Source organism: Homo sapiens, chromosome 3, assembly GCF_000001405.40.
Source record: "Homo sapiens chromosome 3, GRCh38.p14 Primary Assembly".
NCBI classification, from domain to species: Eukaryota; Metazoa; Chordata; class Mammalia; order Primates; family Hominidae; genus Homo; species Homo sapiens.
This window is the reverse complement of record NC_000003.12, coordinates 38,085,749-38,103,489: the sequence shown is the minus strand read 5'-3', so window position 1 is coordinate 38,103,489 and position 17,741 is coordinate 38,085,749. Positions and strand designations below refer to the sequence as shown.

Sequence of the window (17,741 nt, the reverse complement as noted above, 5' to 3'; positions counted from 1 at the left end):
GAAAAGAAAATAGGAGAAAGAAATAATGTGATCAGGTTAACTGATAAAACAGAGGAGAACAAAACTGCTGCTTGAAATCCCTGCACAGGTTACGTGCAATGCAATCCTTAATGATGGAATGAGGGCATCAAAGGGCGGGGGAGCTGAGCAAAGCACTGCTGAAGATCCATTGGCTTAGCCAGGTCAGGGCTCCAGCCCCAGAGCTCAGAGCAACACATGGAAGAGTGGGCTGCCCCAGGCACAGAAGTCAAATATCACATGATCTCACTCAAGTGGGTGCTAAAAACGTGTACATATGGACATAGAGATTGGAATGATAGACAACGGAGACTCGGAAGGGTGAGGGCATAGGAGGGAAATGGGTGATGAGAAATTAGTTCATGAGTACAATGTATGCTATTTGGGTGATGGATACCCTAAAGCCCTGACTTGACCACTATATAATCTACGCACATAACACAATTGCACATGTACCCCATAAATTTGTACAAATAATAAAAATTAAAATTGAAAATTAAGAAAAAGACTGGGCTGCCACAGTATTTGCCCCCACTGAAGACTGTGGGTATCACGCTGGAGAGAGGCCAGGGCAGAGCCTGCAGTAACACTGGACCTCTCAACTGTCATGAGGAGGAAACAACCAGAAAGATGCTATTCCTTCATTCTTATTTATGAATGAAGGCACGAATTGATTTGTGTAGCTGCCCAGTATGGGTTTTCTCCACTGTTTGTTTAGGGCTGTTTTCCCCAAAGGTCCCTTTCTCTGATGGATTCAGGCTAGCTGTGTGCTCTGAGGGTGGTGACTCACATGTACTTCATCCCTTAGAATAGGGGTGCTCTCCACATCTACCCCCTTTTACTCAGAAGAAACTTACAACACCAGCTCCTTATGCAAATCAACTTCCTCCTCCATTCAAAAACAGGACTGGACAGGCAAAGATTACTAGAAGCAGAAGAAAACTCAAAAAGTAAAGAAGAACTCCAACATCTGGGAAAACAGAAATTCATTTTCTTGGGGGAATCTGAGAGGCTGTTGCATTGATAAGACTATAACAGATTACTATAGAAAAGGAAAGACGCAAGAACAACAAAGCTTGAAATTTCGAAACATGATTGCCTCTTCTGGAGACAGATCCTCCCTGTCACCCAGCAGGGGAAGGGGCGGGTACATGACCCACACAAGAGCAAGAGCAATCAGGGCCTATCTCTGCAAAGAGCCAGATTGGCTCTCAGAGATTGTTAAGGTGGGAGTGTGTGAGCCTGGAGCTCTAAGTGGCCTCTCCCCAAGGCAGAGTGCGAAGGGCCCTTGTCAATAGGGGAGAGAAGGGCCCACAAAAAAAGAGCAGTAGATGGGTTGGGGCTGGGATGGAGGTAGAGAAGGGGGAAAGAGGGTAGAGAAAGAGAGGAAGCAGAAGACCAGACAAAGGGAAAAGTGTTGGGCCCTTGGATTCAGCAAGGTGGGAATGCCCAGTTACGTGAGCCAATGCTTCCTCTTTTTTGCCTAAGTTGGTAATGTCTGTGTTTCCATCACCTGCTACTGTAAACATTCTGATAATACAAGGTCCTTTCAGGAGAAAGAACAGAGACAGAAAAGGAAAGGAAATAAGCACAGACTTAATAGAAAGCCCTTCCCCTGAGCTGCAGGCAGACTTAGCCTTCACATCTAATGCCCGCAAATTGCCCTGAAGGACCAATGCAAAGACTCATACCTAGACCTGTATTTGTTATCACAGGAGGGGACATTTGAACAACTGTCAGATGGTCAAGTATACAAAGTCCAACAACATTTGTCATGGTGAAAGTGTGGGGTAATGGCTAGTCTCACACACTGTAGGCAGAAGTATAAAATGACACAGTCTTTTTGGAGGATAATTCAAGAGCATCCACAGAGATTTAAATGAGCATTTAAATGTTTTTACAATGAAACACCAAATATATGCAAAAATGAGTATAAAACATATATACAGTTTAAACATATATATAGTTTAACGAATAATAAAACAACATCTATGTACTACCTCCACACAACTTTAGAAACAAAATATTATCACCAGCCAGCTTAAGAAAATGAATATATATATATATTCATTCACTGCAACCTCTGCCTCCAGGATTCAAGTGATTCTTCTGCCTCAGCCTCCTAAGTAGCTGGGACTACAGGCGAGCACCACCATACCTGGCTAATTTTTGTATTTTTAGTAAAGACGGGGTTTCACCATGTTGCCAGGCTGATCTCGAACTCCTGACCTCGTGATTTGCCTGCCTCGGCCTCCCAAAGTGCTGGGATTACAGGCGTGAGCCACCATGCCCAGCAGGAAAATGAATATTTTATTTGAAAATAATTTGGGAAGGAGTGGGGAGAAGGAGATAGGGGATATGGATGAAACAGTACTTGCAGTGAGTTGACAATTATTGAAGGGAGGAAAGAGTATGTGGAGGTTTATTATACTATTCTTTCTGTTTTTATATATATGAGAAGTTTTCCACTAGAAAGAAAGAAAAGGAGGGAAGTGGGGGAGCGGAGGGAGAATGAAGAAGAAAAAAAGGAATACTACCAATACCTTTGAAACCTCTAGCATGTTCCTCCCAGAATACAATGGTATGTGCTTATTTAAATATGTCACACTTTTTAAATGTCCATTCTCCTGTTGACAGACAGTGGTTTTTTCTAGTTTTTCCTGTAGGAACAGTCCAGTCTGAGCATTCCAACATGAGCACACATCTCCCACTGTGCATGTATAAGGATTTCCCTGGGAGTATACTCAGAAGGGCAAACACTAGCTGATGCTAACGTAGTTTCGAAAGTAGTTATACTAATTTACATCTCTTTAATACACACACCCTAGAAAGATATATACATAATATTATCAGTGGATCATCCCTAGGGAATGGATTATGCGTCATTTTGAGTTTCTTTTCTGTAATTTACAAATTTTATAGAATACTAATTTTCTGGATTCAATAGTTTTAAATCCAGAACATCTCTAGATAAATATATAATATAGATAAATACATCACGAATATGCATAGTTTGTTGTAGTGGCTCTTCCCACGGCACCCTTACCTCCAGGCACCATTTTCCACCTCCAGCTCCAGGACGGTCTCCAGATGCTGGCAGTGCAGGGCCTCCAAGGTGATGTCCACCCTGCACTCCCCCAGAGAGTGAAGCTGGCCACTCGAAGGCTCAATGTCGAAGGGAGACACCTGCCCCGGAGAACACTCAGGAGGATGAGCACTGAGGACACTTGGAATTGCAGAGGAACTGGGGGCTGGCCATGCCTAACCAAAGTCACTCCTAAGCTGCCCCAGCTCTTCCAAGAGCCATCTGGGATCCAGAAACAGGCAAGCAGGTGGGGGACCACAGCCACAAGAGTCTCAGGATTAAGAGCATAGAAACTGAGTCTCCAAGTAAAGGAATACATAAGTCAGAGGGCCCCATGCCCTGGCCCAGATCTGAGAGATAGAAGGCGGAGGGAGGTGCTCCAGGGAAAATGGGGAGAGCTGGGGAGCCAGAGGAGAGCTGGTGAGCCAAACTAGGGGGGTAGCCCTCTGAGCAGCTTCAACTGAGGAAAGCCACCAGGTCACTAGATTAGGGGAGGGGAGAGTCTATTGTGGCCAGATTTCTCCTTTGCACCCACGTGGTCTTTCCCCCACCCCTTCCTTCTGTCCCCTACTGCAGGCTCAGCCTCATTTACCCGCCCCCACCCCCACCCCGCCCCCGGTCTGCTCCTCCTCCCATGCCAGGCACACACACAAAGGGAGAGGGGAAGGGAAAGAGCAGGAAGAAAAGTGTCCCCATCTGGGGAGGGCTCTTTACATTCCATTCTTCCTGCCCTGACTGAGAGAGGACACTTGTCCCTGTAAGGAGCCACTTTGCTTTATTTTGTCTTTGTTGCTCATGTGCATCTCCCTTGGAGCTCTGGGGGTGGCTGTAGTCTAGGGTTGGGTTTCAGCAGCTCTGCGTCCCCTAATCTGAGACCATCTAACAAACCCCAAATCCCAACATTATTTTTGAGAGCTCAAAAGAATAGAGTGCAGAGAACTGTAGAGAGGGAATTATCTTACAATACTATAACATTGGCAATTATTTCCATTATAAAACATAGTTATTCTTCACAGTGGGAGAACACCACAGACTGAAAACTAGACAAGAGGGATCAGATGTGATGCCGCTACCCATCAGCCGTATGACCTTGGGGAAGCCCTGCCCCTTCCAGTCTCTCCTCTATCAAATGAGGAGGCTGGCTGAGGTCTGTAAGCTTCTAACTGTGCTCTGGAAAATCCCAGGAAATCCCTAGAAGTGCAGGGGACTGGAATGTGGGGAGAAGCAGGATGGGGCAGAGGTGCCTAACAAGGGGGTCTCTGGGTGGCTGGAGCAGTCACAGTTTATTCTATGTTCTGGGCTTTTGCATAAAGTTTCATTTGAAGAAAGGGTTCTTGGCTAAACATAATGTGGACACTAAAGATACTGATGCCACCCTGCCCCCAGCCCCATCCCAGCCCAAGCGCCAGCCTTAGTCTTTTGTGGTTTCAGGATCCATGGTGGGAGATGGATGAGCCCTGGGAGGGAAAGTATTGAACTCCAAGCCTGTGTAACAGGTACTTGGCAATGGCGTTGGCAATTTGATGCACACTGTCATAACTTCTAGGTTTCAGAGTGCCCAGCTATAGGCCATCAGGTAAAGGAGCGAGGCCTCCCTGGAATAGAAAGGAAAGCCCACTTTCCTGCAGAAAGGGAATGCACACTAGCAAAATAAGGTATATGCATGGCTTGGATTGTCTTCCCTGGGCTCCTTAATACAGAAGGAAAAGTGTGCGGTGTTCTGACTCGGAGGGCAAGTGGGCAAGCAGGATGGGGACCTCGGTGGGAAGCAGCCAGAAGGAGAGTGTGGTCACCAGACATGGCCAGGGTCTCACATGTGCAGTCCACCAGGGAGCTGCAGCCATGCCGTGGTGAAGGGGCGGTGATGTACGACTCACTGCGGGCATTTTGCGAGTAGCTGGTGATTTGTGTGACTTTGTCTTGTTCCAGATCGCCCACTGCATTTAAATATGATTATGATAATACTTAGCTGCTTTTTTTCCTACTTTTATAGTGAAAAGTGCCATTTGAGTCGAAATAAATCTTGAATTTTCTTTTTGGAGCCTTGGGTTTGGGCTGCCAGCCTGTGACCAGATGCCATCTGGTAGCAGATCCCTGGGAGGATCTGAACCTTCCAGAGAGTGGGGAGGAGGTGGGAATGCGGCTGGAGCAGCAGCAGCCTTGGAGGCTTCCTGCCCAACCTAGCTGCCCATCTCTTCCTGCCTCAGACGGCTCTGAGGGAGAAACCCACGCCCTATTTCTAAATCCGATGGTAGTGAAAGGCACAGGAAATGCTGATGGGGGATTACATTTGGCTGTAGAGAGGAGCTGAGCTGCCTCAGCGATGGGGAGAACAGGAGGCACCGCCAGGCCGAAGTCACCAGGCAGGCTTTTCCTCCACCAGCCTCGAAGCTCTGATCTAAACACACCAGGGCAAGTTTCACCAGGGCAAGCTAAACGGGCTCATTGTGGGGGCACCAGAGGAACCAGCAGTGCCTGACTTACATCCTCAGGCCTTTCCTGGAGGGAGACTGGGCTCTCCTTCATGCGCCATGTGGCTGGGAGCTGGCTGACGTTCCGGATCTGGATGGAGTTTGTGGCTTTCTGCCCCAGGCGGAGCAGACCAAACTGAAGGGCTGAGACGTTGATGATGAGGGCAGGCCCCTGAGACACCCAGAGGGCCTGTCACTGGGCCACCTGGGGATGGCTCAGTGTCCCAGCCCTGCCACCTCTCTGGGCCCACCCCACTGCCCAGCTCCACCTGCAGCACCTTAAAGACAGCCTCAATGTGTAACACCACTGGCGAGGGCGAGTCTTCGATTTCACACAGCAGGTCCTGGCTTGTGGGGCCAGGGACACCCCCAGTAAAGTTCAACTCAAAATCCCCGACCTCACTGGGCTCTGAGAAGAGAGGGAAAGGGAGAGGTGGAGAGGAGAAGCAGAGGCAGTTTCCTCCTATGATTGGGCCCAGACATCTGGCTTGCACAGACTTCTCATCTCCCTCACATCCCAGGCCTCAGCCAGAGCAGTCACAGGACACCAAGAGCCCTGCATAAGCCCCTTTAACTCTGAAGATTTCTTCCTGAGCCAGCCCCAGGCAGGTCACAACCCCTCCTGCAGTCCCCAAGGTACCTATGACCCCTGTGCCGGGCTCCACTTCAATGATGTGGCAGTCGCTGATCTTCCCCCACAGGTATCTGATGGGTGACTTGCTGTTGTTCCACATCTGAAAGACACCCGAGACCAGGCTGCCCATTTACTGCCCCTTCATGTCAATTCTGTACCTGCTGAAGGACTGTAGGATTGTGGGCTCGTAAAGAGTCCATATGACACTTCCCGGCTAATTCCTGGCCACCCAAAGCCATGGGCCTCCCAACCCAAAAGCACCCTCCCTCCACACTGCAGTGCCTGTGGCTGACATACTCTGCCAAGGACGGGAATAGGTTCCATAGCCCTAACTTTCAGAGGATTCTGGGAGGCTGATAAAAGAAGACAGCCATGCCTGGCCTATGCATCTGTGCAAGTCAAGTTGGGTTCAAAGCCCTGGGAATGGCCTCAGCCTCCATGCAGTGGCTGCTACCATCTGCCCCTCCTGCTATATCCTCCCTACACTTGCACTCATGTCAACACTGCCTCGGCCAGCCTAGGCAGGGGAGAGACAATGACCTACCTTAAAAGCCTTCTTCACATTTATCCCAATGTAGTTCTCCCCTGGGATGATGAGGGCATATGGCTCTAAGAGAACCTGGAAAGGTTCTACTGAGCCTTTCACCTCGATTTCCAGGACAATCACATCATCCACAGAGTAGGAGGAGTGCCCCAGGCTCTCCGCTTCTGAACTAAACACAAACCCACCGTTAGCTAGGAGCCGGCACACCTGGAAGCACATCCTAGAGTGTCCCTGCCTCTGTCCCACGTTTGGCCTTGTGAAAAAAAAAACACTGCCTAACCCACAGCTCCTGAGCCCCCTAAATCAAAGGCATTAGCCAGTGCCTGAAAGGTGATAAGCACCGATGGCTGTGACAGTGGTTTAGCATAAGGACTGGGACGGGGCATTGCCCTGCTGCCTCCAGGGACCATCTGCAGCCCTCCAGCCTGGGATCTCTGCACTGGGCTGCCTGGAGCCCCAGCCTGAAGGTTTACACCATGGGGGCAAAGCTTTTCCTCCACACTCACCACCACCGAGGGCCCCCCAGTTTGGCTCCCCAAGAGCAACAATGGGCCTGGGGCACAGCTCCAAAGTTCCTGGGGTGGCCTCATAGTGAGTTTAGCGAGCTTAGTGTGCTCAGCCCATTGCAGGGCTGGGTTGCCAGGGCAAGGCAAAAAAAATGCTCTCACTCCCCAAAGCCTGCGGGGACCAGGCTGCCCACTCCCCCTCACCTGATACCTTCCCCAGGAGAACCCCCAAGGTGGGGGAAGGCCCAGCTGCCCACTTCTCATCCAGGGCCCAGTTTCTCTCACCTTACAGGCTCTGGGACTTCCTCTAGCACCATCTGGAGCACACTGTGAAAATCCCTCAGCTGCAAGGCAAACACAGTGCCCTGAAAACACCACTGCGTTCCAGCAGGTTGTCCTGGAGAAGGCTGGGGCATGGCAGGAATTCTTCCTCCCCTTAGCCTAGCCATCAGAAGGACCTTCTGAAAACCCAGGGTTGCTTCCCTGCTGCCTCCTCCCCTCCTTAGGAAAAGTGAAGTTGCTGCCAGAACATGAGCCAGGACTCAGGGGCCTGTCTCAGCTGGGCCTGGGTGCAAGAAGCAAAGGCCTTCCTGATGCTGACAAAGCCCCTCAACGTGTCCGAAGCACCACACCCTCCCAGGATAGACAACGAGGCAGCTGGATGCTGGGACCAGAGGCAGGATCACTCATCTCAGCCCCAAACCCACTAACAATGGCCCCGGAGCATCCTTTTCATGCCCAGCTCGAATTCCCTTCTAGCCTACCGTGGCCCACAGGGCTTCCCTCCATGCTGGGGCCAGCGCTGTGCTAACCTGGCCCTCGGGTCCCTGCACCTCACTCTCTCTAGGGGATGCTGTGGTATGGGTGGGGATGGTAATGTTTTTTGCCATAGTAGACATGTGGGAGACACCCAGAGCGGAGGAAGCCAGCCAAGGGTCTTGCTGCAGATGGGGTGAGTCTGGGATCAGGACCAGACAAAATGAGCTGCTTCACCCTGCACACCAGGTGTGTACTCCAACCCAACTCAGCCAAGTGCTGGCCTGGGCAGGATAGCACCTCGGTGGGCCCAGCTGTGGCTTCAGTGTGATTGAGGAACACAGGTGGGGGGTCTAAATACATGATCCAACCATGTGTGGCTACTGAGATGACACCATCTGAACCTCATGAGGAGAAAAGCTCAGGATGAACTCGTGGTCTGTGTGGGGGCTTAGAACCCCCTTTCTGGGCATGATGGAGAAGGCAGTCTCCTTGTCGGGGTAGCACTTGATGCTGTCCATGCTGAAGGTTTCTCCAGGCATGAGGGGCTGCAGGTTGGGCTTCATGATCTGCCAGTAGAAGGCCAGCTCCACGTGCCTGTGGGGGCAACGCATCCAAGGCCATGTCCCAGTTCTGCTGGGACCAGGTCCCTCCACCCCATGCCTCCCTGCCCTGCTCCAAGAGGGAGCAGGAAAGGACCTAGGAACAGGAAGAAACCAGGTCAGCCTTCACACCCTTCCAATGGAGGACCCTCCAATGGAGGAGGGGCAGCAAGTGGGCGAGGGAGTCTAAGACAGAGACTATGTAAGAGAGCTCCTCGCTTCCCAGCCATGGCAGCTGGAGGTTGGACCTACCATGACTCAGGGGACATGGTAAGTCAGGAACTCATGTTCCAATCATTAAAGTGGAAGAGGCTATACATCACCCCCTAATATTGGGAAGATCTTCTGCAGTGTCTCTCACCACATGAGTTTCCAAGGTTTGCCACATCAACCCCATTCCTGCCCTCTGCCTTTCCTGTTATGGGCTCCCAGGAGAGCTGTGTCCAGAAAGATATGTGCCTACTGGCTGCCAACAGGAACAGTGGCAACTCCATAGCATAGGAGGGGCAGGACTTGCAGCTATCCCGGGGGAGAGATGACAGAGTCCTGTGTAATGTCTGGGGTCCCCAGGGCAGCCCTGGTTGGGAGGCTCCCTGAGATTTGTCCTGGTTTCATGGTAGTGCTCAGAGGCGGGTCAGGAAATAAATGGCAAGGAGAATGAAACCCACAGACTATAGTCTGTCTGCCCCTGGGACTTGGATGGCTTCCCCTACACAGGCATGGTATGTCCTCTCTGGAAAGCTGGGGCTGGCTAGGGATGGTCCAGGATGATTTGGGGCAGCACTATCTAACATAACTTCCTGAAGGGATGGAGATCTTACAGATCTGCACTGTCCAATATGACAGCCACTAGCTACATGTGGCTGGTGCCACTGAGGAAGTGAGCTCTTAATTTAATGTTAATTGATTTAAATTTAAGTAGCCAAGAGTGGCTACTGGTTTCCATGATAGACTGGGTCAATCTGGATCCCTCAATTGAATTTGGATATCCATTCTGTGCCCAGTCTTCCCCAGGCCCTTGGAAGGACCTCCTGTCTCACTGGGACTGAGGGCCAGGTAAGCAAGAAGAAGGGTTGGGTATTGGGGCACACACAGGGGTTACCCACGTAGCATTTCTAATAATCAGCTGCTTCCTAGCCGTGGACCGAAGGTTTTCAGGCTCAAATCGTATGAAGTGCTGGGCTGTTAAGTCTGTGAGCTCTCCAGGGTCTGGCTGGCTTTTTTCACCAGAAATATAGATCAGATCCAAAGCAATCAGCTGCCCAATTCCTGCCAAAGTAGAGTAAGTGAAGTCAGTGAAGGCTCACTAGGGCTGAAATCAGGCCAAGGCTGCTGCAGGACCCATGCCGCCATCCACATGCAGCTGGCCTTGACCATGATTCCTGCAAGCTCACACTGGAGGGAAAAGGGGGATATCCGCCCACAGGTTAATGTTCTCACATCTTTGAAGACCAAAAGGAGGTGATTTTGAGAACCTAGCATATAGCAGACACTCAATTAATGAGGAAGGGAGAGAAGAAGGGAGAAAAGGAGGGAGGGAAGGAGGAAAAGAGGGAAGGAAGGAGGGAGGGAGGAAGAGAGGGAGGGGCGGCCAGGGGCATCTTGTCACGATTCCTAGGATGCCTCTTCTAACCCTGCAGAAATCTAGAGGTGGCTCTGGCTGTTTATGTGTGAGCCACTGGCAATTCCCCAAAGGAGATCAAAGTGAGTTTCAAAATGAAACAATGAAAGATTTCACCCCAGGTTTCCAGCTGTCTCTTGCTAGAAGGCTCCTTGGACTGTCTTGGAGGCCACACTGGCTTGGTCTCCAAAGTCAGACCAGAGCAATGGGCCTGAAACGAGACTCTGGCACCTGGAGGCTGCAGCATTCTTAATGTGCGCTCCTGACACACACAGGAAACAGGTGGGCTGCCGCTAATGCTACTGTGGTCAGTGGCCCCTGGAGCTGGGGCAGCCTCTCCAGCCTTGCCCCTGGGAGTACACTCAAGCCCACCTATGGTCACCAGCTCCTTTATCTGGCAGTTGTCGCACATGATGATGAAGGTCTGCTCTGCCTTTCCTAGGCTCTTTGGGGAAAACAAGACCTGGGGGAGAGAAGGGTTGTTCCGTTACCTCCCATTAAAGGGCTTCCACCCTCCCCGCCTCCCACCCTCCTCCTCTCGGACACACACCCCTTTCTTTGCTCTTCACTCTCTGTTCCCCTCCCTGCCACCTCCCACCTTACTCCTAAGGCCAAGTGTTTTACCCTAGCTCCACCCCAGAGAAAAGCAGGGAGCAAGCTAAAAGGATATGAAGATAAAGTTCACAGAGACCAAAATACAAATGGCCCTTAAATGAATGACAACACATACCCTCATTCATAATAAGAGAAATGTCAATGAAAACCATCCAGAAGAACGGCTTTTTACCACTCATACTGGCAAAGAGCAGAAGGTGAGCTGTCATAAATGCAATGATTTGTTTTCTATTTTTTCCCCAATTCCCCCAACCCCCAACCCTGGTAATCACCATTCTATTCTCTGCTTTTATGAGTTCAATTATTTAAGGTCCAACATATAGGTGCAATCATGCAGTATTTGTCTTTCTGTGCTTGGCTTCACATAATGTCCTCCAGACTTATCCATGTTGTCGCAAACGACAGGATTTCCTTCTTTTGCAGGGCTGTTATTCCATTGTGTACATATACCTCATTTTCTTTATCCTCTATCAATAGACACTTAGGGTGATTCCATAGCTTGCCTATTGTGAATGACACAATGAACATAAGAGTGCGGATATCTTTTAAATGGTATCTTTTGAGCCCAGGAGTTAGAGGATGCAGTGAGCAATGATCACATCACTGCACTCCAGCCAGATTTCATTTGTATATATACCTAGTAGTAGGACTGCTGAATCATATGGTAGTTCCATTTTTAATTTTTTGAAGGAACTCCATATTATTTTCCATAACGGCTGTAGTAATTTACATTCCCATCAACAGCGGGCAAGGATTCCCTTTTCTCTACATCCTCGCCAACACTTACCTTTCATCTTTCTGATAATAGCCATTCTAACGGGTGTCAGGTGGGAGCTCACTGTGGTTTTAATTTGCATTTCCCTGATGATTAATGATGTTGAGAATGTTTTCATATACTCATTGACCATTTATATGTCTTCTTTTGAGGAATGTCTAATTGGTCTTTGGCCCATTAAAAAAAGCAGGTTGTTTTCTTGCTATTGCATTAAGTTCCTTATATATTTTTGGAGTTAACCCCTCCTCAGATGTGATAGTATTTTCTCCCATTTCACAGATTGTCTCTTCACTCTGTTGCTTGTTTCCTTTGCTGTGTAGAAGCTTTTTCGTTTGAGGTAATCCCATTTGTCTATTCATGTTTGTTTTTTTGTTTGTTCATTTGTTTGTTTTGCTTTTTGAGACAGGATCTTGCTCTGTCACCCAGGCTGGAGTGCAGTGGTGTGATCATTTCTCACTGCAGCCTCTAACACCTGAGCTCAAGCGATCCTCCCACTTCAGCTCCCAAGTAGCTGAGACCACAGGTGCATGCCACCACACCCGGCTAGTTTTTTAAATTTTTTATAGAGATGGGGTCTCCTTATGTTGCCCAGGCTGGTCTCAAACTCCTGGGCTCAAGAAATCCTCCCACCTCAGCCTCCCAAAGTGCTGAGCCACCGCACCTGGCCCCTATTTTCACTTTTGTTGCCAGTGCTTTTGAGATCATATGCAAAAAATCATTGCCCAGACCAATGTCATACAGATTTCCACCATTTTCTTCTAGTAGTTTTACATTTTCAAGTCTTATATTTAAATCTTTAATCCATTTTATTAATAAGTTAATTTTTGTATATGGTGAGAGACACAGGTCTAGTTTCATTCTGTTAAATGCAATGATATTTTGTCTTGATTTTGTTCAAAATAATCTAGAAGAGCAGGGTGGGGAATGTCTGAGGGAAATGGAGGGGTATAGATGTAATAAGATTGGCCAAGGGTTGATAATTGTTGAAGATGAGTAATGAATACATGGATGATCATTATTCTCTCTATTTTTGTATATGTTTTTATATACAACGTCCATGAACAGTTTCTAAGTTTTATAATATACTGTATTGGCAAAGGTGTAAAGAAACAGACACCCTTACATACTGCTGTTGAAAGTATAAATTGGTACAATCCGCATGGTAAGGATTTTGGCAACATGCCTTACAATTATGAGGGCACAAAGCGCTGGATCAGCAAATCTACTTCAAGGACTGTATCCTGTGGGTAGACTCATCCTTGGACAGAGTGATGTATGTATAATTTATACATAATTTGTAGCCAGAGATCAGAAAAAAATCTTCAGGTCAATCAGCAGGAGACTGCTGAACTAAATTATGGTCCATTCACACAGTAGGATACTATGCAGTTACTAAAACATATGAGAATGATCTCTAAGATATAGAGTTAAGTAGAAAACACAAGGCAAAGAACAGAGTATAGAGTGGGCAACTTTGTGTGTGAAGAAAAAAATGGGGGTAAAAACATGTGCAGTTGCTTATTTGGGCATAGACTATCTCTGGAAGGGCATTCAGAAAACTGGCCAGGTATGGCCTCTGGATGGCTGAGGAACTGGGGTGAAAGGGAGCATTTCACTGTTTACCTGTTTACATCTTTTGAATGTTTTATTTTTATTTATTTATTTTTAGGACAGGGTTTCACTCTGTTGCCCAGGCTGGAGTACAGTGGCTCAATCACAGTTCACTGTAAACTCAAACTCCTGGCCTCAAGTGATCCTCCTATCTTGACCTCCCAAAGTGTTGAGATTATAGGTGTGAGCCACTACACCTGGCTCTTTTGAATTTATTTTTTACTTTAAAAATTGTCTATACAGACAGTATATCACTATGTTGCCCAGGCTGGTCTTTAACTCCCAGACTCAGCAGTTCTCTTGCTTTAGCCTCCCAAAGTGCTAGGAGTACAGACCTGAGCCACTGCACCCAGTCTCTCTTTTGAATTTTTAATCATGCAAATGTATTTCTTATTTGGAACTATGAATACATTTTGGAACAGACAAACCCCCAAACAATCAGTAAACAAAATACGCAAGAAATGCCAAGGGGAAAGCCTTCCCCAGCTCCCTCACTGCTCCCCTAAGAGTCCTGCTGCTACCCTCTTCCTTTACTTGGAGATCCCAGGAGGATGGGATGAGGGGGATGTCCAGGGCAGAGCAGCTCCAATTCCTTAAAGCTTCGATGAGCCTGTGACAAGTCCTGGACTACACCAAGAGAACAGAGAACCTGGCCTGTGTATGGGCCTTGTAGACCCAACCTGCCCCTCAGCAGTAGATGAGGCCTGACAAAGCCCCTGAACTGGCTCAGTCTCAATCCCAAGAACTAGTTTCTCATCAGGGATCAGATGAGCAGGGACATGAATAAGAGAGCCACATCCTAGGGCTGCAGAACCTACTGGGCACTTGAAACTAGAAAGCAGCTGATAAGAGGAAGCCCTTCCTGACAGCATGGCAGAGTCGCTGTGGCAGTTGAACTCCAACTTGGCTGCACACCAGCATTCCCTGGGGGACTTTAGAAGTCCGGCACCCAGGCCACAGCCCAGTCTAGTGAACTCAGAACCTCAGGGATAGGGCCTTGGTGTTGTTTCCAGGTCTCTCAGGTGATTGCAATGTGCAGCTGAGTTTAAGAATAAGGGCTGCTGGATCTCACTACCTGGTGATATGGCACAGGCCAAATCCACCCCCAGAAGCCAGACGGTTTTTGCTCCTGAATGTCAGGGGCCTCCCTCGGCAGGCTAGTGTGAAAGGCCAAGCATGTCTGTAGCAGCCCACACCCAGTCACATGAAGTGGAGTCAGACTCCTAGACCAGGAGTCGGGGAGAGTGGCAGTGTGCTGCAACAGGGACAGGAAGTATCACCATTTCTCATGGGCACCTCTGGGGACCAGCAAGCAGGTGTGATCAGCTGAAGGGGGCAGCAAAAGGGGCCAGTTAGGAAAGGAGACGCCCACAGCCAGGGGCAGACCACTGAGAGCTTCTGCAGAGGTTCAGGATGAGGCGTAACGGAGTTGGGCCTTGCTGACTATACAAACTGAGGATGAAGCAGGAAAGTGAGAACAAAGCCACAATAACCGCAATAATCAGGTACCAGATGATAGAGGGGCCTGGGGGAGGGAAGACCCAAGAGAGACTGAAGAACCAAGCGAAGATCTTGGAGGCAGCTTGGACATTGGTGGAGGTAGCTCCCAGACTAAAGGTGTGGACTAGCAAGGCTCAGGTTTGTGATGTGATGCTAGGGCTATCTGCATTTGCTTTGTGAAAATGCTCATAAGACAGTCAAATGACATCTGACATCACCCTACAGAATGCAAGAATATGCGTCTACCCAGAAGTCACTAAGGCTGTGATATGGGATGGGACTGGACACTTGAGTCATGAAAACAGAGACAAATGCAAGCATGCAAGCAGTTGAGGAAATACATGCCAATGTCTGATTACCTACCTCCACTAATATAGCATGTCCCGGGGCCAGCTCAAACACCGAAGGCAGGATTCCAAAAGGAGGTTGTTCAACAAAGCCGACGGTTGCAATGGCCTTAAAGAAAAGCAGATTACCCAACAGTGTGGAAGACATTGTAAAAGCCAGTATTCAGATTGCAAACTTCTCTCCTTCAAACATCCATTTTGCAATGTGAAGGAACTTAAGGATCATCCAGTCACATGGTAATGAAAAAACTGAGGCTTATTCATTCAGCAGGCATTTACTCAGCCATCACCAGGTACCAGGTGAGGTTCTGAAGGTTAAGGAGAGTAAGTCTTAGAACATCTGTGAAGAGCTGACTACTGACAGGAGGTACAAGGAACACCATCACCAAGTGATTGGGACACAAAGTGACAAGCGTGTGAGAAGGTCTCACTCAGGAGGTGAGCTGAGTGGGCCCTCCCCTGGGCTCCCAAAGCACATTGTCCTTTTCCTACAGTAACACCCAGTGTCACAGGTGCTAGCATATGTGTCTGCCTCCAACCCTGACCCACCCCTGGCTACAAGCTCCTGAGGCACGAGAGCTGCAGCCCCAGTGCCTACACAAGAAGTCACTTAGCATGCCAGGGACACAAACCCATGCCTACAAGACCCTGGTCAGTAACAGAAATGAGTGAAATGTCTTTCTTGGAACATCTTGAAATGTCATCCTCTAGATGTATCCCTTGTTTTCTGGGTACAAATAAATATCTTTGCTATGAGAAAAATAATGGTGTGAGCATGCTAATGGATGGTGTCAGTGCTGATGGATGGTGTGAGCATGCTGATGGATGGTGTCAGTGCTGATGGATGGTGTGAGCATGCTGATGGATGGTGTCAGTGCTGATGGATGGTGTCAGTGCTGATGGATGGTGTGAGCATGCTGATGGATGGTGTCAGTGCTGATGGATGGTGTGAGCATGCTGATGGATGGTGTCAGTGCTAATGGATGGTGTCAGTGCTGATGGATGGTGTGAGCATGCTGATGGATGGTGTCAGTGCTGATGGATGGTGTCAGTGCTGATGGATGGTGTGAGCATGCTGATGGATGGTGTCAGTGCTGATGGATGGTGTCAGTGCTGATGGATGGTGTGAGCATGCTGATGGATGGTGTCAGTGCTGGGATGCTCTTGGGACTGGTGGAGCTGGGCACTCAGGACAAGGTACACAGGGCCTGCCCCCAGCCCTGGCCAACAGGCTCACAGTGAATCCTGGCCCTGGCCTTCATATCTTCCAGTTTTTCAAAGGACTGGAAATGTAGAACTTTATATAAAATCTCCATTTTTTTTTTTTTTTTGAGATGGAGTCTCACTCTGTCGCCCAGGCTGGAGTGTAGTGGTGCGATCTCGGCTCACTGCAACCTCCACCTCCCGGGTTCAAGTGATTCTCCTTCCTCAGCCTCCTGAGTAGCTGGGACTACAGGCACATGCCACCACACCCGGCTAATTTTTTATTTTTAGTAGAGACGGTGTTTCATCATATTGGCCAGGCTGGTCTCAAACCCCTGACCTCAGGTAATCTGCCTGCCTCAGCCTCCCAAAGTGCTGGGATTACATGTGTGAGCCACTGCGCCTGGCCAAATCTCCTTATTTTTAAATGTTGGCTCAGAAAATGTTAAGTGCTGTGCCAAACAAATACCAGCAGAATTTGGCCAAAGGGCAGCCAATTTGTAACCTCTGAACTATTCAGTCATTTGCTACAATAAAGAAGGACTGAATGAGTGAATGCAGTCACATTTGAGCCAGGGCTTGAAGGATAAGAGAGGTGATACCGCTTGCCCAGCATGGTACAGGTATTAGTGACATAACCAGAACTACAACACTGGACCCTTATACATCCATTCTCATTCGGGTTGTGGCAGTTGCATAGAGAGTTTACAACACTCTGCGTTCTGTGTGTTTCCAATCATAGGTATACTCTAGTAAGTTCCTCTGGGGGTTATTTCCTTTGATGGACTTGTAATTTTTCCAGTTAGCAACCTGTGATCACTCACCTTGAAACTTAGTGGTGGCCAGCTTGTTTTGGGCATAATGCAGAACCTGCCAACACTGAAACCCACATTTTTGCAGATGAATCTGGTCATCTTGACTCCCCCAATGAGGCAGTAACCACAGTCCAACACCGGTGACACTGTAGCCACAGGAGAACATGTGCAAGAGAAACAACAGGTCACTCTTAATAGGCCCTACTGTCATGCTTCTCCTGAGGTACAGCCAGAGATCAGGACAGCTGGTCCCAGCCCAGCACCCTATGCAGAGAGGATGAGTGGGGACATGTCCTGACCCTACACCCACTTGGGCTCTGCCCAGGCTGCTGCTGGCCACATGGCAATAGTGCCATGGGACTCTATTCACTCCTGGCTAGAGCAGCAGAAGTCAGTGCCCATTGTGGATTCATGCTCAGCCAGGGCCACCCAGCATGGTCCTTGGGGGCTATGGCAGAAGTAAGGGGGATCACGGTCCCAAATTCCAGCCTATGCCCAGCTGTAGAAGCTTGTCGCTGAGGGAGCCCAGCTGAAGCCAGCTTTGCTAAGGACTCCTACCCCCACAGCCACGAGGACAACGACGACCTGTTAGGACTCCTCAGGGTGCACAGGCACTTCTTCCTTGCCCACTGTGGCAC

At 48.9% G+C, this 17,741-nt stretch overlaps 1 protein-coding gene across 11 annotated transcripts in view, besides 1 other annotated feature; it reads right to left on the bottom strand.

Annotated features, from left to right (window-relative positions):
* DLEC1 (DLEC1 cilia and flagella associated protein) overlaps nt 1-17,741 on the bottom strand; it is an 84,818-nt gene that overhangs the window by 20,536 nt on the left and 46,541 nt on the right. For all 11 annotated transcript variants that reach the window (XR_940527.3, NM_001321153.2, NM_007335.4 and 8 more), the window contains 11 exons: nt 17,113-17,249; nt 15,102-15,194; nt 10,610-10,700; nt 9,723-9,885; nt 8,419-8,611; nt 7,544-7,602; nt 6,753-6,921; nt 6,215-6,308; nt 5,853-5,983; nt 5,588-5,746; nt 3,065-3,204 (listed from right to left, as the gene is read on the bottom strand). Coding sequence is in view for 10 of the 11 variants with exons in the window: in NM_001321153.2 (NP_001308082.1) it covers nt 3,065-3,204; nt 5,588-5,746; nt 5,853-5,983; nt 6,215-6,308; nt 6,753-6,921; nt 7,544-7,602; nt 8,419-8,611; nt 9,723-9,885; nt 10,610-10,700; nt 15,102-15,194; nt 17,113-17,249 (1,429 nt within the window). In the remaining variant the exon portion in view is untranslated. The remainder of the gene's footprint in view (nt 1-3,064; nt 3,205-5,587; nt 5,747-5,852; nt 5,984-6,214; nt 6,309-6,752; nt 6,922-7,543; nt 7,603-8,418; nt 8,612-9,722; nt 9,886-10,609; nt 10,701-15,101; nt 15,195-17,112; nt 17,250-17,741) is intronic.
* Nucleotides 5,135-5,634: an enhancer, noted in NCBI's record as "H3K4me1 hESC enhancer chr3:38139347-38139846 (GRCh37/hg19 assembly coordinates)". NCBI's record gives its function as "activates a minimal SCP1, AML or CMV promoter by ChIP-STARR-seq in primed H9 embryonic stem cells {active_cell/tissue: H9 hESC(primed)}" and the evidence as "EXISTENCE:reporter gene assay evidence [ECO:0000049][PMID:30033119]".